At 52.3% G+C, this 20844-nt stretch overlaps 1 protein-coding gene across 3 annotated transcripts in view, besides 5 other annotated features; it reads left to right on the top strand.

Annotated features, from left to right (window-relative positions):
* The window catches only part of INKA2 (inka box actin regulator 2), a 33734-nt gene extending 16155 nt beyond the window's left edge, over positions 1-17579 (top strand). Inside the window, exons 1-4 of one of the 3 annotated variants that reach the window (XM_011541783.3) lie at positions 248-457; positions 2069-2192; positions 3165-3297; positions 11839-17579. In XM_011541783.3, the coding sequence (XP_011540085.1) occupies positions 11839-12675 (837 nt within the window). In that variant the 5' untranslated portion in view covers positions 248-457; positions 2069-2192; positions 3165-3297 and the 3' untranslated portion in view covers positions 12676-17579. Of the gene's footprint in view, positions 1-247; positions 458-2068; positions 2193-3164; positions 3298-11838 lie in introns of those variants that run through there. The other 2 variants (NM_019099.5, NM_198926.2) reach the window with 2 other exon arrangements.
* Positions 2-321: a silencer, noted in NCBI's record as "silent region_1191". NCBI's record gives its function as "represses an Ori minimal core promoter by ATAC-STARR-seq in GM12878 lymphoblastoid cells {active_cell/tissue: GM12878}" and the evidence as "EXISTENCE:reporter gene assay evidence [ECO:0000049][PMID:35858748]".
* Positions 332-401: a silencer, noted in NCBI's record as "silent region_1190". NCBI's record gives its function as "represses an Ori minimal core promoter by ATAC-STARR-seq in GM12878 lymphoblastoid cells {active_cell/tissue: GM12878}" and the evidence as "EXISTENCE:reporter gene assay evidence [ECO:0000049][PMID:35858748]".
* Positions 432-611: a silencer, noted in NCBI's record as "silent region_1189". NCBI's record gives its function as "represses an Ori minimal core promoter by ATAC-STARR-seq in GM12878 lymphoblastoid cells {active_cell/tissue: GM12878}" and the evidence as "EXISTENCE:reporter gene assay evidence [ECO:0000049][PMID:35858748]".
* Positions 862-951: a silencer, noted in NCBI's record as "silent region_1188". NCBI's record gives its function as "represses an Ori minimal core promoter by ATAC-STARR-seq in GM12878 lymphoblastoid cells {active_cell/tissue: GM12878}" and the evidence as "EXISTENCE:reporter gene assay evidence [ECO:0000049][PMID:35858748]".
* Positions 13951-14720: an enhancer, noted in NCBI's record as "H3K4me1 hESC enhancer chr1:112267545-112268314 (GRCh37/hg19 assembly coordinates)". NCBI's record gives its function as "activates a minimal SCP1, AML or CMV promoter by ChIP-STARR-seq in primed H9 embryonic stem cells {active_cell/tissue: H9 hESC(primed)}" and the evidence as "EXISTENCE:reporter gene assay evidence [ECO:0000049][PMID:30033119]".
* Positions 17580-20844: the final 3265 nt, after the last annotated feature.

Below are 20844 nucleotides of genomic sequence, written 5' to 3'. Positions count from 1 at the left end.
CGCGGTACAGCCTGGAGTCACGATGCCCTCCGCCGCGCTGGCCGGGACCAGGTGTGTCCTCGCCAGCCCCAGTGGCTGCGCCCGGGTCCTGTGCAAACACTGCGGTAGGGTCCGCCTCGGCCGCCCAGCCCGGCCTCCCGGCCGCCCTGCCCATTGGCTGAAGACAGCCCCCCTGAATTCTCATTGGCTGTCCCACTTTTCCCTCCACCCCCAGCACCGACCGCGCGCGGCTAGCCGCTGGGGAAGCGACTCTGAGTCCCGGGCTCGGAGCGCAGGCTCAGCTCCGCGCTGCGAGCGCTACGGGCGCAGGGGCGGGGAGCCGGCCCGGAGCGCAGTTTCCAGTGGGGCCGGGGTTTCACCCGGGCCCTCTCTGTTTGAACCGAACCCGACAAATGGGCGCATGACGATGGAGAGCAGGGAAATGGACTGCTATCTCCGTCGCCTCAAACAGGAGCTGGTAAGAGCGAAGCTGGCGCCGGGGCAGGGAGGGCTGCTCCGCCCCGACGGGCACCTGGTCTCCGCCCCGGCCCCCGGGGAGCCGGGACGTAAGCAGGGCGGAGGAGGGCCAGGGAAGAGAGGAGAGGACGCGGGCCCGCAGGCAGAGGGCAGGGCTTGTCCTCAGGAAAGGGGACCACGAAGAAACTTTGAGCAAAGATTTGTGATGAGACAAGAACAAGTGACAGAGAGACAGAGGGAGCAAGCCAGCCAGGCTGAAATGTGACACAGAGAACCCCAGAGAGAAGATAGGGCACGCCCAGAGACGGCCAGGCACACGGACGCAGTGGGGCCCCCGCGCCGCCGACGCGGAAAGCGCGAGAGCGAAGGCCTGGGGAGCGGGACGCGGGCGCCTGGGTGCGGGGCTGCGCGGGGCGACCTGGAGCGCGGGGAGGAGGAGGGTGCTGGGTCCTGATCCCTGCGCGGGCACGAGGTCAGCGGGACTGCTCGCTCGAGGGAAGCGGGTACCACCCTGGGCCCCCAGCTCTGCCGGGCTTGGCAGAGCTGGCGCGGCTGCGGGGGCAGGCTTGGCCGGCTGTCTGCCTGGGCTTGTCTGCCAGCAGGGAGGGGGCTGGCAGCTGGAAAGGCGGGGGAGGGCCCTGCGCTGGAGGAGGGGCTCTGCCTGGCAAATCGAGAGCGGGAGCTGCGGAGGCCCAGCCAGATGTCAGGTCTGGGCTTGGGGAGTGCGCAGGGAGCGTTCGGAGGCCCCGCGGTACGGGGAGGGGGAGAAGTAGCTCAGTCTGGGGGGGTGGAAATCACCGAAGTCGGGGGAGTGGTGTTCGCTAAAGCTATGTTAGGGAGAGCCAGGTTGATTCTCACTGGCTTCATATACCACTGCCCCCGCCCCCACGCCACCTGCCACCTTTCTTATTCCTTCACCCACCGGAATTCAGGCAAATGTTATGCACATACAGCCCCATCTCTGCTTTGCCCATCTCTCCTTCCACTAGGCTCTCTGTTGTGTCTTTGCCCTCGTCTCTTTTTGTCTCTTTTAGTTTGTCTCTCTTGGAGTCGACTCTTCTCAGTCTCACTTTTCTGCTCTCCTCTTTCTTCTTACTTTACAGAGCCAGGGGCACTCAGGCCACACAACAGCAGGCCTGGATCTAGAAAGGGCCAGCTTATGGCTCTCCAGATTCTGTGACAGCGTTTCCCACTGCTGCCTGCAAAGGCTACACTCTTCCTGCTTGGGAAGGAACTTGGCAGTGTGTTAGGGGCCAGCTCTGGGGGTAGGGGGCAGAGTTTGAAACTGCAGGTGTTCTCACTGATGCTTCCTGACCAAGTAACCCTGCCACTCTTCCTGTCAGTCCTACTCCAGGGTCAGCCTGCTCACATCAACGATCATTTCTCTCTCTAGTCCTCCCTCCTGGAGCCCTTTCTGTGGTGACACTCAGATGCAAAAGTCACTGACTCAGAGATAAATTTCTTGAGAGACAGGAGTATTCATTGCTTTTCTTCTGAACTTACGCCATGTCCCTTCCCATAGTCGTTTGCACATGCTTCTCATGCCAGATTGGGATGGCTGGCCCCAGCCCACACGTACACAATTCTCATTTTTTTCCATTTATGTGTGCAGTACCAGAAAGAAAGCTCAAGGTCATCACAGATAATGTCTGAGGTCCAAGACCCATGCAGAGAAAAGAATCTAATGGAATCCTCCTTTTTGTGCTTCGAATTGGGGACTACACCACCCACCTCAGGTTCTGCCTTAATGGAGGGTTTGTGGGTGTTCCTGGCATGGGCTCGAATTTTTAAATCCTACTGATTTGCATTTTTTATAGCAGTCTAGGTGGGAGGTGGTGAGGGGAGGAAGACAGAGACTACGAGTGCCAGGAGAATAAAAAAGGCAAATAGGAATCTGCACTGAGCTGAGCTTCACATCTTGATTTGCACCCTCTCCTGCCAAGGACTTGAGCCCCCAATGCCTGAGAGGAGGAAAGGGAGAAGCTGAAGTCACGGAGTGCCCCATTAGCTTTCATTTGGCCCTTTGTCTGAGCAGCTTCAGCCTTTGACTCTCTTGGAGAGGAAGCCGAATGCCTGGCCTGGATCCCAGAATGACACTCAGATGGGAGAGCTCTGCACTACCCCCCATGGTGCTCCACCCCCTCCCCAATGCCAGCCTGCTCAGAGACGAGACAGAGCAGAAGGACAGACAGAGCTAGTAGAGTGTCACTCACTCCCTGACACCTCAGTTCAGTGCTTAGGTAGCTGGGCCAAATCTCAGTGCCTTAGTATCCCCAACAGTAGCAAAGGGGAAAGTAGAGCTGAGTTAGTCCAGGGTTAGCCCTTTGGCTGCCTTGCCCAGGGACAGTAGGGACTGAATTCAGTGCAGCTTGCTTGTGGCTGGGATAGAAGTGTGTTGACTTAATACCCTAGGTCTGCAATGGGGTGGGAAAGGAATACAGTTGGTTTCTGTCATGAGCTAGGGAGCTTTTGCACTGCAGATGGCCCATCCCAGGCAGGATCTCCCTTGCCACCCAGGAAGACATTGTGTTGCCTGGCGCTGCCCTTAGTTTGTGTTTACACAGGCATGGCCTCCTGTAATACTGGTCAAGTTCTATATTCATTTATTTCAGTAAATTTCTTTCAAGAATCACACATTCTGCAGACACTGTGGGATAAACCTGCTGGAAAACAAAACATTAACAGGTTGTGAAATTATCTTTGTCAAGGGTGTTTTGTGCTCCCCTCCTGCATCCTACCCCTGTCCTTGGCCCAGAAAATCTAGGCAAGAAGAGTGTGTTTCTGAAAACCAAAGTAGTGGAACTTCCCAATTCCCTGAAGCAGAAAATTTCATTGTAACAGGTGAGCGCTGGGAGAAGGCTGAGGGTTTGGGGATCCTGACTCAATTAGTTGATAAGTAGAGAGCTGACCCTTTCCTTCTGCCTGGAAAGGGAAGGGGATCGGGTTTCAAGGATGAAATGTGGCAGGAGAAGTAGCAGCAGCTGACACACTTCTTCATTAGAATGAGGGGTTGGGGCTGCAACAGCTCAGCAGGGAACACATCTCTTTTCTCCCTCCAGCCGCCAAAGAGGGGCCCTGCCTGAACACAGGCCTTGGGACCAGCTGTTCCGTACGCACAGCTCCCTTGTGGGCTGCCAATAAGTGGGGGTAGACACAGGCACACAGAGGAGGCAGATGTACGATGCTCACAGGGCATCCCTCGTGAGTTCAGATCAGTGTAGAACAAATAGAATGCGTAAAGGCTGAGTGATCAGAGCTCATGAAGTACAGCCAGGCTGGGAAGGCTTCCTGGAGGAGGGAGAGGTTGCAGGAAGCCATCTCTGGGAATGTCTGTCCTAGCTGAGGCATGGGGAAGCAGTTCTCTAGCTTTTAGTGGCCACAAGTTCAGGGGGTTCTGGCAAATGGGTAAGGACCAGGGTCTGAAGGCAAAATAAGGAGAAGAAAAGTAGGAGATGGAGAAGATACAGTAGGAACAGCCTTCAGATCTTGGGGCAAAAAGGCAAATTTCCTGAGGCAGAAAAAAGCTTTTGCAAAGGATCTCATAATGCCTCTTCTTTGATGTTTAACGCTGGGGAAAGATGACTATGTGACTAGTTAAGCAATGTGGTCAATGGGAAGAATGCATAGTATAAGATTTGGGGTCAGGCCAACTTCAGTTCAAATCCTGGCTCTGTATGACCTTAACATATTACTTAACCTCATTGTGCCTTGGTTTTCTCATCTCTAAAATGGGGGTTTTAAAATACCTACTCTATACGGCTACTGTGAAGATTAAATGACAATTTAAGTGCCTCGCCAACTATTTGTCTTTCACACATAGCACAGTGTCAGATGTGTCATATCGTAGGCACTTGGTAAACTGTTGATGATGGTTTGATCAGACTGTTTTGCGTAAGAGTCATTCATACATAGAACATGTTATTGAGTTCATACTGTGTTTAGGGCATTTACTGGGCACTGGCACTATTGTTACAAACCAACAGACACAGATCCTGTCTTCAGGGAACACACGGTTTAATAGAAGATATAATAATGATATTAATTGATGTTAACATTGATATGCCAGACATATAATTTATGATGTCATTTAATTGCCAAAACAACACTAAGAAGTTTTACTTTCATTATTCTCATTTTATGAATGAGTCAATAAAGACATGGGAAGGCTAAGTCACTTGGCCAAAGTCATAGAGCTGGTAAGTGGAGGAGCCAGGATTCAAACCCCGCCAGTCTGATTGCAGAGCTTATGTTCTCAACCAGTACCTGTATGCAGACCTCTGGGGCAGAAATAGAGGAGTTGTGCTATATAACAAGCACGGGTTCAGTGCTCTGAGAGAGGGAAGTAAACTCCAGCTGGGAGATTGGAGAAAGCTTCATGTCATGGAAGAGGTAGCATTTGAACTAGACTTTGAGGGATAAATAGGGACACGCACAGCAGAAGAAGAGCAATCCAGGCAGATAATGAAACAACATGAGCAAAATGTACAGAAGCTGAAGTGGTGGGGATGTCTGAAGACCAGCTGGAGTTTGCCTAGAGCATAGGGTAAAATGCAGAGAAAGAGTGGGCAACAGTGCTGAAAGAGCTGTCGTGGACACACGCTGGATGTCATGCTAAAGAGTCTGGCCTGTTCTGTATGCATTGGAGAGCAGCCCTGGGATCCAGAAGGTGATATGGGGTAGAGGTGGAGGTGGAGGGAGGGAGGAAATTGAGGCAGGAGGATGAGTTAGAAGGTTATTACAAGAGTCAGGCAAGAGACACTGAAGGCCTGAACCAGAAAGGAAAAAAAAAGAAGGTAACTTCTTGAGGTCCCTTGGATGTTCGAGGAAGTTGATTGACTGCAACGGAGAGAAGTTAAAGGTGGTCAGAGGGAAGAGGGCTTGCGGAGACTAAGAGGCAATCTCCGGGAAGAGGCAGCATTGGAATCCCCTCTCCATCTGTCTGCCCCTTGCCTAAGCAGACCCCCATAGATGGTTGTGTTGGGAAAGCGGGCCCATCCATTTCACAGCCCTCACTTCCTCCTTTCTTTACCCTCCTCCCTCCTACAGCTCTTGGCACAGTTTCCGCTTTACCTTCCTGTTGAGAGTTCCAGCCAAGTGTGAGGGGCTGTGAAGGTCCCTATTCACTGAGCTGGAGAATGGGCCACTTGGCAAAAGCAGGGCTTTTCCCATTTCCGGCCCTCAGCCTCCTCCTAGCTTCCCCAGGGGCTGAAAGGAACTTTGTGGGGATCTTGTGAGTAATGGGGTGGGGGAAGTGAGGCAGGGCACACAGCCAGGCTCATGGGCAAAGCTGGAGCCTGTATCAAAGGATTCTGGCTGAGCTGGGAGAGGGCGTGAGATGGATGGAAGGAGGGCACAGCTGCGGGATCAGTCGGGGCCCAGGGGAGGGTTTGGGAAGGGAGCCGAGGATGCTGGCGTCACATTTTCCCATCCCTGCTCCTCCCTCACCACAAAGAGCCCCAAGAGGGCCCAGGGGGAGGGTGCTGTCCATGGCCAGCTGACCCCACACAACCTCTGTGGGGCTCAGGGCTGGAAGTCCAGGATGGTGGGATCTGGTTCCCAACTGCATCTTCCCCTCCAGCCCCAGGCAGGCAGTTCCTCTTCCCTCTTCAGATGACTCAGTGAAAGGGAGGCCTCGGAGTCCCTCAAAAGGATGACTTCACGTTCTTCCTCCCCATCTGGTGGTAACTGCCCTTTGCACTTCCTGCTGGTTGCCCTGGTTTCTTCTCACAACAATCCCAGGAGGCTAAGAGGTCAGGGGTTATGATGACATGGAAAGCTCGTTGGCCTGGAGTATGAAAGCCAGCCTTGGGGTCCCAGGCCTCTCACTAATAAGCCTCAGGACCCCAGGGACCACTGGTGGTGCTCAGGATGATGGAGGCGATACTCCAGGAAAGCTTTCAGTTTAAGATGTGTGTTGATAGGTGCCATCTGTCTATGGCAAGTGTAAACACTTCACACAAGTTCCCTCATAAGTACACTATTTACATAAACAGATAGGAGATGTGTTCATGGAGACGAGGTCCTATGTAGATATGGTGAAAATCATGAAGGAGGTCTGGGGAGGAATGCTGGGAAACACTGAGGGAGAAGATGGACCTCCCAGCCCCTGGTTACCTAATCCATTACTTGGGGATATCTCCACCTACCTGGCCAGCCCCTCAGAGTTTAGCCGTGGGGATCAGGCCGTGCAGAGGAAAGGGCTAGTGCTGACACCAGGAGTTGTCGTCTGAGATTCAGAACCCCGGGCACAAAAAGTGGGCGATTTTGCCCAGTGTCATGTGGCCGAGTAAGTCAGGTCTCCAGATGAGTGTGGGGCCCTTCACAAACACCAGGAGGGCACCTGTGGCACTACAGCTCTAATACAGTGAGGAACCCAGGGGATGGTTTAAACTGCAGCCATGGAGACTGAAGTTTGACATGCAGACTTCCAGAGACGCTGAGGGTGGGAGAGGGACTGTGGGGTGGTATGGAGGCAACAAGCAGGTGAGAAGACCTTTCCTGGCTTTTCACAGGAGGGATTCCCACAATCTTCATTGGAATATGGTTATTAAGGGTTTTACCTTTGATGGTGGAGCAGGTTAGTTCTGTGTGTGTGTGTGTGTGTGTGTGTGTGTGTGTAACAGAGAGAGAGACTAGGAGTGGGTTAGAAAGAGGTGGCTCTTGCTCAAACTAATCAGGACCAGGTCGACCTTCTTGTGAATTCTCTCAGCTGACCCCTGAGAGCAAGCTTGTTCTGAGGAAGAACCTGAGGCTCCAAGACAGTAAGAGGCTCCGGAGGAACTCCGCACCCTGCAGCCTGGAGATGGGTTTAGAGCTACTCATGTCTGCTCGGGATTTTGTCTATCTGAGCTGGCCCCTCTCCTTTCCTCTACCTCCCTTACTGCCCCCTTTTCTTCCCCTTTTGGTCCTGAGGCAAGGGAAGCCCGGGGACCTGAGAGGATCCCAAGCTCTGGAAGAAGAAGGCATATCCCAAGCTCGGCCTCTGACTCTTCTTCCTTGGGTGATGGCATCCCCTGGGGTCAGTCTGGAAAGGCTGTTTTGCTGGCTCCTCTCTTAGTCAAGAACCAGCTAACGCTCCTGCCCCACCACTGTCCTGGCCCTCCCAGGTTCCCACAACTCCTCCTTCGCTTCTCATCCCTCTCCCAGCTGCCTTCTTGCCCTTCAGTGTCGGCACCCTGGATGTGGCTGGGCTGACTGAACGTGGCTGGGAGTGGGCAGGAGGGTGCCAAGACTTCCCTTCCTTCCCTCCCCAGCCCCTGCATGGGGCAGGAGTGGGGAGGGAAAAAACAGGACCTTCTCCTTGTGCTTCTCCTTGATTAGACCAGATATAAGGAATGGAACCCTGTCATTACTATGTGCTAAGTTTCACCAAGGAAGAAATGTTGTGAAAGTACATGGGAAGTCTTAAACTAACAGCCAGAATTCACCTAATGCTTTCTTGGTTTCATGCAGAGATACACATTACCTCACCTAATCTGCACAATAGCTGTATGAGGCAGGAACTGTTATTCCCATTTTAAAGAGTGGAGAAATTTGGCTGGGCGCGGCAGCTTACGCCTGTTAGCCGAGCACTTTGGGAGGCTGATGTGGGAGGATGGCTTGAGTCCAGGAGTTCGAGACCAGCCTAGGCAACATGGTGAAACCCCATCTCTACAAAAATACAAAAAAGTTAGCTGGGCATGCTGACCTGTGCCTGTAGTCCCAGCTACTTGGGAGGCTGAGGTGGGAGGATTGCTTGAACCCAGGAGGCGGAGGTTGTGGTGAGCTGAGATCATGCCATTATACTCCAGCCTGGGCAACACAGCAAGACTGTGTCTCAAAAAAAAAAAAGCATGGAGAAATTGAAAAACAGAATGTAAATAACTTGCCCAGGTCACACAGCTACTAATGGCAGAACTGAGATTTGAACTTTGTTCCATTGTCTCCAGAAACCAAATTATTAACCAATGCAGAATATTATTTTGCAGATGGGTGCAGTTTCAGCACTTGCTTACTTACATAGGGCCTCTGTTTTATGGGCAGCTTGAATTCATGCATACCCACACATTCATTCTCACTGGAAAACTGTGCAAAATGTCAGCATTATTTCTTCTGGATTTTTCCACACTGGAAGAGATTGAATGGAGTCATTTCATTCCTCCCTCTACCTCCGACCTGGGCTGGGTTTAGCCTTCTGGAAGGAAGCCTGCCAGTTTGGACTCCTTGCCTCTGGGTGAAACGAAACCTTGGGAAGCAGCCCTGCTTCTTTCTCCCTGTGTAGTGAGTTACCGTCTGAGGGTAGCAAGCAGCCTGGAGGGTGATCTGGGGTGGTCAGTGATATTCAATATGTGTTTTATGGGTATGTAGCAAGTGCCAGGTGCTAGCGAGGTTCTGGGGTGACATACTGATGTATAGATCTCAGCCCCTGTCCTCAAGGAGTAGATACTCAATACATATTTCACAAGGGACTGAGCATTTAAATGCATAGAGGACATGAGGTGAGTGCATAAGTGGCAGGACTACAGGGAAGAGTATATTAAATATCACAGAAGATTTCTAACAGGAGCATGGGGGGTACGTCTCAGGGAGTAGGGATATTCCTGGAACTGAAAGTTGGAATTCTGTCCTGGAGGATCTTGACTGCATGACCAAATAGTTTGGATTTGAGTCTGGGCATTGGAGAGCCACGGAGATGACAGGAGGTGTGTGCTGGGAAGACTGATCAGGTGCTCACGTGTCTGGCGGTTCGGAAGCTGTCTAGGAGGCTTCTGCAGCATTCCTGAGGGTGGAAGGAAAGATATGCGACATTTGTGGGAGGAAAAATCCAACATGAGTAAGTTGGGCAGGAGCAGGGGTAGTTGAATGGAGAAGCCAAAAATGACTGAGGCTCTAGTTGGGAAGACAAGGAAAGTGGCACTGGAGGAAGTGGGAGAATAGGGAAGACAGAGGGAGAAGCAGTTTGCAAGGGAGGCACTGAGTTTGGTCTGGGGCTTAGAGTCTCCTCTGACTCTGCTCCAGGTCTTAGCAGCTGTAGCTGAGTGCTTCCAAAAGGAAGGGGTCAGTAGAGTAGAAGCAAAGAGGCCAGAGAGAGGGGCTGTCAACAACATGTGCATCTGTCCCACAGGCTCCTTGTCCCTTGTTGCTCCTGCCACTGCCCCCCATTCAACTGGTGAAAACTCTGGCAAATCCCAGGGCTGTCAGGGCCTGGAACCACCATTTCTTCTTGCCTGTCTTGGGGAAAGTGCACAGAGCGTGGGCAATCTCCACGCCCCAGCAAAGGCCTCCTTGCCCTCAAGGGCAGTCAGTCCTCCACTGTCCTTTAGTGCTGCTTCTGCTGGCTCATTGAGAGCCTGGCTGGAATCTCCCATCCCCCCCAGGGCCAGGGTTGGCAGGGGGAGGATTTGACCCAGAAGCCTGAGAGGGTCAGCTGCAGCCCAGCCCTGCAGAGCCTCTGTGCCTGCCCTTCGGATCCCTCCACCTTCTGGGTTTAGCCCTGTGCATTAAGACAAGCCTGGGAGGTAAGATGATCCCACGGGTCTCTGGGGGGCTTAAGAAACACATGGTCCCTGCATATGAGGTTTGCTGTTGGTAACTTGATCAGGAGCTGGGGAGGGAGCTGGCAGGACCAAGGCAGCTTGGGCCCAGGAACTGGGAACCTTGTGAATGTTATCAGACACAGCCCCCACCCCGCCCCGCTGCAGCCTCCAAATTAGGCCCTCACCCAAGTCAATCTCTCAGCACCTTCCAGCTGGCAGCCGGGACTCAGGCCTTAGACACCCACAAAGGGGCTGGGAGAATTGGCCCCCAGCATCTCACTATGGCTTGGCCGGGGCGGCAGAGCCAACTGGGCTAAGAAGGCAGGAAGAGTGTTGAAGCCAAGTCTGAGAACAGCTGAGAGAGGACAGGTGTTTGGGAGGGAGAGGCAGGCTGAGAAGCGCTGGGTTTTCAGCAAACAGGAGTTTCCTGGCCTCCTTGTCTCCCTTCTGACCAGTCAGATATGAACAGCAATTGCAGGAAACCCCAGGCCTACCCTTTCTCTTGGGGAATCTGAGCTCTTCCTTTTCCACTAATGCCCTTTTCAGCCCTTCTTCACTGTCCTGTAGAGGACAGAGTAGCCTTAAAGTCCAGCTCTGGGTGCAGGCAGCACACACCTGTGGTCCCAGCTACTCAGGAGGCTAAGGCCAGAGGACTACTTGAGGCCAGGAGTTAGAGGCTGCCGTCCACTATGATTGTGTCTGAGAATAGTCACCACTGTGCTCCAGCCCAGCAAACAGCAAGACCCTGTTTGAAAAAAAAAAAAAAAAGCCTAGCTCCACTGCCCACTGCCCAGCCATCTCGAGTCTCGAGGTAGTACAGGAGGTTTGGGCATTCCTTATCTGAAATGCTTAGGGCCAGAAGTGTTTTGGATTTTGGATTTTCGAATATTTGTATATATACAATAAGATATCTTAGGGATGGGACCCAAGTCTAAACATGAAATTTATGTTTCATATACATCTTATACATACAACCCAAAGATAATTTTATACAATATTTTAAATAATTTTGTGCATAAAAGAGTTTTGACTGTGTTTTGGCTTCCGCTTGTCACATGAGGTCAGGGTAGAATTTTCCACTTTTGGTCACGTTGTGGCTCAAAAAGCTTTGGATTTTGGAGCATTTTGGCTTTCAGATTTTTGGAGTAGGGATGCTCAACCTGTATTTGGTAGTTAGGACTATGGCATCTGGAGTGGGACAGTACCGTGTTTGAGTCCCAGCTCTATGACCTGTGTGACGTTACGTAAGTTACTTCACCCCTTCCAGCTTACTCGTTTGTTAAAATGAGAAAATAGCAACCTCATACGGTCTATATAAAGATGAAATGAGATGAAGCACATAGAGTCCTTAGCACAATTCCTGTTACAAAGCAGATTCTCATATTGTTTTTTCCGCCATCATCACTGTCATCATTTCAGGGAGGCCCAGGGAGGAAGAGCGCTCAGACTCAAAAAAGGATGAGGATGGGCACTACAGCTTTGTGCACTTCAAGCTGATCTCAGCCCCACCTCTTACTATCTTATCTTGGGCAAATTACCTGTGAAATGGGAACAGTAATAGTCACTACCTCATAGGGTAGTTGGGGAGATGAAATGTCTGTGTGTGTGTGTGTGTGTGTGTGTGTGTGTGTGTATGGGGTGGGGGAGCCTTCTCAGGACAGTGCCTGCCTTAGCTAGTTAGCTACCATTATTATTTCCTTTACCCAGCACTGATCTGCACTGCACTAGGCTATAGAGAGATGGGGCTGGTGGCAGGCTGGATGACCCTGGAAGTGTATGTTTGGGTGGGGGACCTAAGTTCAGGGCTGGGAGAGGCACTGCTGCCCACTGTGGCTCATAGGCCCCATGCTTTCTCTCTCCCCTGCAGATGTCCATGAAGGAGGTGGGTGATGGCTTACAGGATCAGATGAACTGCATGATGGGTGCACTGCAAGAACTGAAGCTCCTCCAGGTGCAGACAGCACTGGAACAGCTGGAGATCTCTGGAGGGGGTCCTGTGCCAGGCAGCCCTGAAGGTCCCAGGACCCAGTGCGAGCACCCTTGTTGGGAGGGTGGCAGAGGTCCTGCCAGGCCCACAGTCTGTTCCCCCTCCAGTCAACCTTCTCTTGGCAGCAGCACCAAGTTTCCATCCCATAGGAGTGTCTGTGGAAGGGATTTAGCCCCCTTGCCCAGGACACAGCCACATCAAAGCTGTGCTCAGCAGGGGCCAGAGCGAGTGGAACCGGATGACTGGACCTCCACGTTGATGTCCCGGGGCCGGAATCGACAGCCTCTGGTGTTAGGGGACAACGTTTTTGCAGACCTGGTGGGCAATTGGCTAGACTTGCCAGAACTGGAGAAGGGTGGGGAGAAGGGTGAGACTGGGGGGGCACGTGAACCCAAAGGAGAGAAAGGCCAGCCCCAGGAGCTGGGCCGCAGGTTCGCCCTGACAGCAAACATCTTTAAGAAGTTCTTGCGTAGTGTGCGGCCTGACCGTGACCGGCTGCTGAAGGAGAAGCCAGGCTGGGTGACACCCATGGTCCCTGAGTCCCGAACCGGCCGCTCACAGAAGGTCAAGAAGCGGAGCCTTTCCAAGGGCTCTGGACATTTCCCCTTCCCAGGCACCGGGGAGCACAGGCGAGGGGAGAATCCCCCCACAAGCTGCCCCAAGGCCCTGGAGCACTCACCCTCAGGATTTGATATTAACACAGCTGTTTGGGTCTGAATCCTAGAGACAGAAAGTTGACTGAGCCTGAAAGGGCCAGGTCCCAGTGCTGGGCCCCTGGGGAGGAGGGAGGGTGGGCGGTATGGCTCTCGAAAGCCCAACTCCAAGTTCCTTTCCCCCAGAAAGCGGGGAGAAGCCAGAGTTCTTGGCTCAGGACTGAAGGGAAGGTGGTTGGGAGAGGCTGTCTTGGGGGCTAGCTGGTGGAGGAGGTAAGAGTAGCTGGAGAGTGAGCTGTGCGTGTGTGTGTGTGTGTGTGCATGTGTGTGTCTGTCTGGCATGCATGCACTCACTTTGGGGCTGGAGGTGACAGTAGGTGAGGGCAGAGGAGGAGATCAGAAAATCCCTCTGACATCTCCACTGCCCCCAAAGACCTCCGTTGAACATTCTGTATGGAAAAGAGCCCTGGAGCATCAGGTTCCCCAGATAGGCCCCCAAATAAAGACCTGTCTATGGCTCTCCCAACCTTCTGTCAGCTTCTTTGGCAAGACATTGCTCCAGGCACAGGGACTGAACCCCAGGCCTCCTGGGACTGGAGCAGCAGTGAGGCAAAACCCGACCTGCTAGCCCTTTCTGCCTTGGAGGTTTCAGTCCATACCTGGACTCTGAGAAAATGAGCTGAATAAGGAGTACAGTGTGTAAGGAGCAGCCAGGGAAGCCCTAGACACTCCCCGCGTCTCCCCCATGCACAGGGGAAGGATGTTGACATAGCACTGGGCTGTTTGAATGCCTTTTCATCTCCATGGTCTCATTTGAAAGTGAGCGAGGCAGGCAGGCATGATCCCATTTTCCAGATAAGGAAACAAGCCTAGATATGCTACATGTCCAGGAACAACTGCAGCCAGGAGGCAGAACAGCCTAGGTCTAACTGCAGAGTAGAAGCTGGACCCTGGAGTTACCAACACTCCTCCCCAACAGTTCTTAGCACCCCGCAGGCTGGGCGCTGTGGCTCACGCCTGTAATCCCAGCACTTTGGGAGGGCAAGGCAGGCGGATTACCTGGGGTCAGGAGTTCATGACCAGCCTGGCCAACATGGTGAAACCCCGTCTCTACTAAAAAAATACGTAAAAATTAGCCAGGCGTGGTGGCACACGCCTGTAAACCCAGCTACTTGGGAGGCTGAGGCAGGAGAATTGCTTGAGCCCGGGAGAGGGAGGTTGCAGTGAGGCGAGATCATGCCACTGCACTCCAGCCTGGCTGACAGAGCAAGACTCCCCTGTCTCAAAAAAAATAAAAAAAAACAGTTCGTAGGGCCCCATACCCCACAACCCCTGTCTCCTGCACTTAACTCCCACCTGGGTCAGAGAACAGCCAATTCACCAGTGAGGTAGAAGTGAACCCAGAAGAAATAGCCACTTGATTTTAAAATTCCCAGCTCCATTCCGTGGCCTTCTCCCCACTAGACACAGCAGTCCCAGGCCTCCTGTTCCCTCCTCACCTAGAGGCAGCCGGGACGGAGGGGGAAGGGCCAGGCAGCAGCTCAGCTCCGGCTTCTCTAAAGCCACTCTGGGCACGTGGCCCAGGAGGGCCACCTAGTGATCCAGGCCCCCCCCCAGGACTGCCCTGGGAAGCCACTGTCCCTCCCACTCCAGTAGGGAACACTCACTGGCTGGGAAAAGACAATGTGGATCTTCTTTTGGGCTGACCAAGCCAGGAGGGCACACCCTCCCACTGCCCCTCTCTGCCTCCCACTGATTGTCCCTCAGCCTGATGGGGTGTGACAGCTGCAATTAGAGGCAGGATTCCTTCCCACCCTCAAAGCATTAATAGCCAGTTGGAGAGGCAAAATAGTAAGAAAAGGCTCTTCTGCTTGCTTCCTGGATCCCTGGGGAGAGTGGAGAGAGGGGCAGAGCTCAAGATGGGATTATGGGGGCGCAGCCGCGGTGGTTAGGGTCACTCTCAAATCCTACCCAGTCAAATGGTAAGATGTTTCATTTTTGGTGGGGGAGCTGCAGGAGGGAGGAAGGCGCTCATGCTTTTTGGGTTTTGTTGAGCACTCACTGTCTGTCAGGTAATGTGCACATCTCTCAAACTTAGAAGGACCCTAGAAGGCATTGTTCTCCAGACACATCTATGGAGGTTATTAGGGGGCGTGTAAACTGCCCCGATTAGGCTGCTAGCAAAGGAAAGGACAGAGATTTGAACAGAGGGTTGGGTTATCTGGCTCCAAAACCCCTGTCCTTTTCTTGCTATTTCTCTACCTGGAGTTTGCCAACTGAGCAAGCCCACTCTGGTGGAGCCAGCCACTGCAAATCCTTTGTGTCTTCCCAGAGAATACCAACATTTCAGTTTTGAGTGAGGGAACGTTGGCTCTGACTGCCTTTGGAGGTGGAGATGGTGGAGGTGGTGGTGGTGGTGGTGGTAGTGGTGGTGTGTGTGTGTGTGTGTGTGTGTGTGTGTGTGTGCCTGCGCGTGCTAAGAAACTGCATGTTAAGATTCCACCTACTGAATCATGAGCGGAGGAAGTCGTGGGACACTGGCTGGTGGAGAAGCCATCTAGCATATTATTCAAGATGACACCAGCTCCAAGTCTGGAATGAGTCTGTGGGAAACCAAGGTACTTCTTGGACATTCACCTATAACTCACGTGTTTCGTGGACTGGTCACAGTGGTTCGGATAAATTGAACAGAACTTTATGAACACCTCCCAGCACCAGGTGTTGTTATAGAAACTAAGAACAGAGCAATGAGAAGGACCCAACTCCTGCTCTCAAATGGATGCAGTGGAAAATAAGCAGACTTTGAACCATTGGTTAGTCAGAAGAGACTTGGGAGACTGAAAACTTGTTTCAACTTGGGCCAGAACAAAAAATTAGGAAGCAACACTTGCTGCCAACATGATTTACAAGTGCCAGCACCTTCACCTCTGTTACTTCCTTCTCACTACACACTGAAAGCAGTTGCTCTTGTTTTACATGGACAGGCTCAGAGAAGTTAAGCAACTTGTCCAAGGTCACACAGTAGTGGAATTGAGATTGAATCAGTTCCAACTGACTTGCAATCTTGTGCTTTTCAGACGATCCCACTAATTGTCCATATCTGTTCCAAAGCCAAATCAAGAGGAACAAGAGCAAAATCTGTCCTCTCATATTATTCATGGTCCTGCGTGGATCATAAATGGCATGCTGACTGTCTGATGGAGACTTACTTTTCCCTTCCCCCTGGACACCTGCCATGGCAATGACAGAGGCTGTATTTTACTGAAGTGGAGGGAAGAGGTGAATGCAAATGCCTAGGGCCTAAGTATACAGGAAGGTGTAGGGAGAGGTAAGCAGTGTGTATGTGGAGGAGATAGCAGACGTAAGCAGAGAGAAATCAGAGAGCTTAGTTCTTCCTCTGGGGCGCACTTTGTGGTTAATTAGGACATGCAAATGAGCTAGAAGCTCATTTAATATCCTCCCTGACATGTAGCCCCACCCCACCCTGCCCCACTTCCCTGGCAGGTACAAGGGCCACCTGATTGGCCCAGGTATCTGTGGAAGGTTCCACCTGCTTCTTTGTGGCCCAGGGAACAGAAAAGAGTCCCTGCTGGGCATGCTAGTGGGGCCGGCCTGGTCTCCCTCCTCCCTTTCTCTTCCCAACCTTTCAGACTTGGGACCTCTCTTTTCCCTCTCCCTCAGACACTTCCCTTGTGCCCCGCCCCTCAGGGTGATCTCTGAACCCAAACTTGCCCCAAAGAAGGTTGCTCTGTCCTCTCCACATCCCCATCTCCTCCCTAGGGCCTTGTTGGGGAGAGGCTCCTCCATCTTTCCCAAGTCACACCATCGTTTCCTACGTGGTCTGGACAAGAGCAAGAGCACACCTTGTCCCCACCTTCTCCAGAGCAGCCAGAACCCACCTCAGGTGCCTTCCCCATCCGGTGCAGTTAAGGCACTTCTGCCAGCACCATGGTATGAGCACTAGACTTGGAGTTAAGATTTGAGAGCCCCCTCTGTCACTGTGGAAGCTTGAGCATGTTGCTTGATCTCTCTGAACCTTGTGTTTCTCATCTGTGAAAGGTGATAATGTGGGGCTGCTGTGAGATTTAAAGGACATAATGCACCTACGGTCCAAGCACTGCCTGGAATACAGCAGAAGCTCAGCAGATACTGGACAACCCATCCCCTTAGTAGAGGCACTAACCATGTGACCCAAGGCAAAAGTGCTTAAGAAAAAGTGCTTTCTCTGAGCGTTGGTCTCTTCTTCTGTCGAAACATTTATATTGATTTAATATCTCACAGGATTGTAGCAAGGGTCAGAGAAGACAATAGGTGACATGTTTTTGTACACTGTATACTAGCCACCCAGATGGGCTGTTATTTGCTAAATGGCAAATTTACACTGTTCCCCAAAGGATGACATGCACTGGGGAGGCGGGGGGTGTGGAGGTGGAGAAAGGCTGAGCTTGGAGAAAAGGTGCTTGAGGACCCCACTGCCTAAGGACCTGCTCTAGGAAACATTCCCACTCCCTACACCCTAGCTGCCCCTCACAGTCAACCCTTAAGGACCTCAAATTCTTGGCAAGGGGTAAAGAGTTGAAAGTGCCAAGTCCTAGTGGTTTTGAGAAGCCTCTGGTCTGCTCTTTCTGCTCTGTAAAGTCTTAGTTGCCAGAGTCCCCTATAGCCCCCACATCGCTCCCTTCCTCCTGCCCTCCGGCCACCCTGGAAACTAATGGCCTAAAGGTGCTGTGGCTGTCCTCCTAAAATCCATTCCCTCCTGATGGGGTGGAGGAATCTGTGAAGCCCACCTTCAGGAGAGGTCTCGGGGCTCGGGCTGGTGCTGCCAGAGAAAGGGTGACTGAACCAGAAAGGCCTAGGGGAAAGCAGCTCAAACTGCAGCCATCCCCTTAGTACGATTACTAGGATGTCCCTTGCCTTCCTTTTGCCTCCTCCACCCAACCCCTAAAATAAACAGTATGATGAAACCTCTCTTCCAGATTCCCTCTGAATTTGACAGAGGACGTACTTCCTGGCTCTCTACCCTTCAGTGAGTCCTGACCTATCACTCTGTCCACCCCCTCCAAGCCCCAGATCTACATACCCCAGTTCCGGAGCACACATGCACATGCACGGGCGCCCCAATGAAGTCGGCCTTGCCAATGTCCCGGAAACAAAGTCCTTGAATTCTTACACTCTTCTCTCCCACTGGAGTCCTCCTCGTCCCCGCCACCACACACACACACACACACACACACACACACACACACACACACACACACACACACACTATCCCCTGAAAATGCCTCTGTGTTCCTGGTCAGAGAGGACACTGAGGAGCAGTGTGTCCCTGAACACAGTTTGGGGCAATACTTATTTGACAAGGGGGCCATGACAATCACCATATGCTTTCCCTTTTCCTTGCATCTTTGAGGAGAAAGAGCAGAATTCTATGCCTGGCTTCAGGCCACGGCTGCGCACAGTCCCCGGCTTCCACTCACAGAACCTATTCACCTATATGCCCCTCTGGGCATGTCCTTCAAGATGACTGGCCCTTTACAGGGACATACCAGAAACACTGCCAAAAACCAGCTCCTGTGAGCTCTACACCCCCACCCAATCTTGTTCCCAACTCGCCTCCACCCACCATGACCTGGCTCTGGGCTGTCTGCCTTGTCCCTTTTTGAGTCTTCTCCACTCTGAATGTGATGATCCCAGTTTCCTTCAACTGGCCAGGGAAGGGTGTCTCAGGAGCCCATCTGAGGCTGCCTGGGGACTGCTGGTTTGCAGGGGAAGCTGTCCTCATCCAAAAGAAGAATCAAGTTTTGTTTTCCTGTGGTTCCCTTGCTCTCCCCCGGCCTCACCTCGAGCTTCCACTTGGGCCCTTTCCCATGCTTCTACTTGAGCCCCGCCTGCCTCACCGTCTGCCTCACCGCCACCTCCTGCTCAGAGTCTGAAGGACAGAGGAGTGAATGCAGGATCTGTCTGCGAGATCCTGTCACTTCATCCTGTCTCCTGTCTTCCCTGGTGTCTAGCCCAGTCCTGCCCAATTAGATCCCACCCAGTTTACCCTCCAAGGTGATGGGTTGAGTGTGCCAAGCTTGGGTTCTTTCCATGCCACTAGGTCTTTGCATATGCTGTTTCCTGAGGAATCTAGTTCCCCCACTGCCAGTACTTGTTATGTAAGTTACTTCTGTGCATGTTTATCTTCCTCTCTACATTGTTGCACCTCCTGGGTGGCAAATACTCCTTACTCATTTCCGTACCTCTAGTACTGAGCACTGGGTTCCCGGGTGACCTCCACTCCTCAAAGTGAGCCCTGGGCTGAGCCCATCTCCTGCTTCAGGGAAGACCAGCAGTCAAGGCCTCCTTAGCTGCCTCCTAAAGCCCATTTTTCACTCTTGTCCTCAGCCCGTTCTCCAGAAGAGGGGGAGCTGTGGCCAGAGTCACTTTCAAGAGAGCAGGAAAACTCTCTGTCCCCAGCACCCTCTCCAAGCTGTTGGGCAGTCTCCTTTGTCCCTGGCCTGGTGCTCTGGCTTCTCCACCCTAGCCTCCCAGGCCAATTCTATTTTAATGTAGGCCGTCTGGTGAGCCTTAGTCCTCACCCCTCCCACTTGGCTCCCTGTCCCCATTGTCATGCTCTTATTGGCTATCCAGAACCCAGGCCCTTCAGATGATCACAGGCAATTCCCACGTCTACTCAATCCCAAGTGGGTCCCAATTTCCATTCCAGAGGAAGTCACCTTTACCCTATCCTCCACGTTTTTCCCTTTCTTCCTCGATCCCTTTCCACTCGTCTTCCTGGCTGGGTTCATCTCCTTGTCCTCTTTGGCAACAACATCTGGTCCCAGTTTTACCCTACCCAAAGATTTTTTCTAATTTGCTATGCTGGTGGCCCCACTAGGGACATTGAGTCTGCTACATTCTCCTCCCATCATTGTGATTATGGAGGGAGGGGCAGGGCAGGGCAGTGGGAAAGGAAGTTGAGAGTTGGGTGTTCAGCGCCTTCCCTGCCTCCGGCTCCACTACTGGCCACACTCCAGGCATTGTCTCCCTACCAGGGATTGAGCTGCCAGTAAGGCAGCAGCAGTATAGTCATTTGTGTAGAAGAGGTAGGAAAGGGGGGGGGTGGGGGATGGGCAGATAGGCATTAAAAAAGAAGCAAATGGAGTAACTGAACTGAAATCCCTGCATAGCCTCAGCTCCCTGAGCAGAGGTGCCAAAGTTAGTATCATCACACAGATCACCTCCATGTCCTGGCCCAGGGCCTCCCCTTGCACTCCCACACCACGCAACTGGCTTAGGGAGCTGAGTTATCCTAGTAAGCAATGGGCCAGATTGACTTAAGCAGGTGTTAGAATCCCTGCTCTGACGTTCCAAGCATCTGTTAAGTCAATTCATATTCCAGAAAATAAAATTCATATCCCAGTTAGACTTTATGTCAGTGATTTCAAGGGCCCAAATAATTCCAAAGCTTCTGACCTGGGCTTCAGGACCCTGCTGGGAGTATAAGGATCAAACATCTCTTTCTCCATGCACATGTATCCCCTCTCCAAGGAAGACAGGCAGGTCCCAGTGCCTAGTCTCACTATTCCAAATCCTACTTTCCAAACTGAGGAGGCTGCATGCTTAGAGTTCCCTTGATCCTGGTGGCTGCGTTGAACTCCCCAACCTGTGCAACTGGAGACATTAGTGATGCTAAGGGCAAGGATGACAGCGGCTAGAGAAGTGTGGCCCGTGCCCTTCGTCTCACCCACAAGAGGTCTGATGATGGGACCCTGGTGGGAACATTGGCGGCTAACAGATGGGGGTGGATAAGGAACAGTCCCCACTAAGCCTTCTCAATATGATATGGTAGATCACTAGGATGGGACAGAGGGGCTGCTGTCTCATGCTGTTCATGAAGTAGGAGTAGAGAGGAAAACTGGGAGGATACCAACAGTCTGCCTGCCAGGTAGGAGCTACGTCCTCTGCTAAAGAGTCTGAGAAGAGCAGAATCATGGCAAGTGAAGCACAGGAATACAGGGCGAGAAAAAGAGATTATTCTCTTCTTTAACATCTTTGAGGGCCAAACAATGAATGCTGGTTCCCTTCTAAATGGAACATTTGTCTGGGAGTCATGGCCTTAGAGGTTATCTTCATTAAAGAAAGGGGGGAAAGGAAGTGAGAAATGAAGAGAGGACCATCAGAATTCATAAGAGAGTAACCCTTACAACTGTGATTTTCATGCTACTCAGGTCTGAAATTTCTCCATCCC

This window comes from Homo sapiens, chromosome 1 (genome assembly GCF_000001405.40).
Source record: "Homo sapiens chromosome 1, GRCh38.p14 Primary Assembly".
NCBI classification, from domain to species: Eukaryota; Metazoa; Chordata; class Mammalia; order Primates; family Hominidae; genus Homo; species Homo sapiens.
Note: the sequence above shows the minus strand (reverse complement) of the source record. Positions and strands in the feature narration are given on the sequence as shown.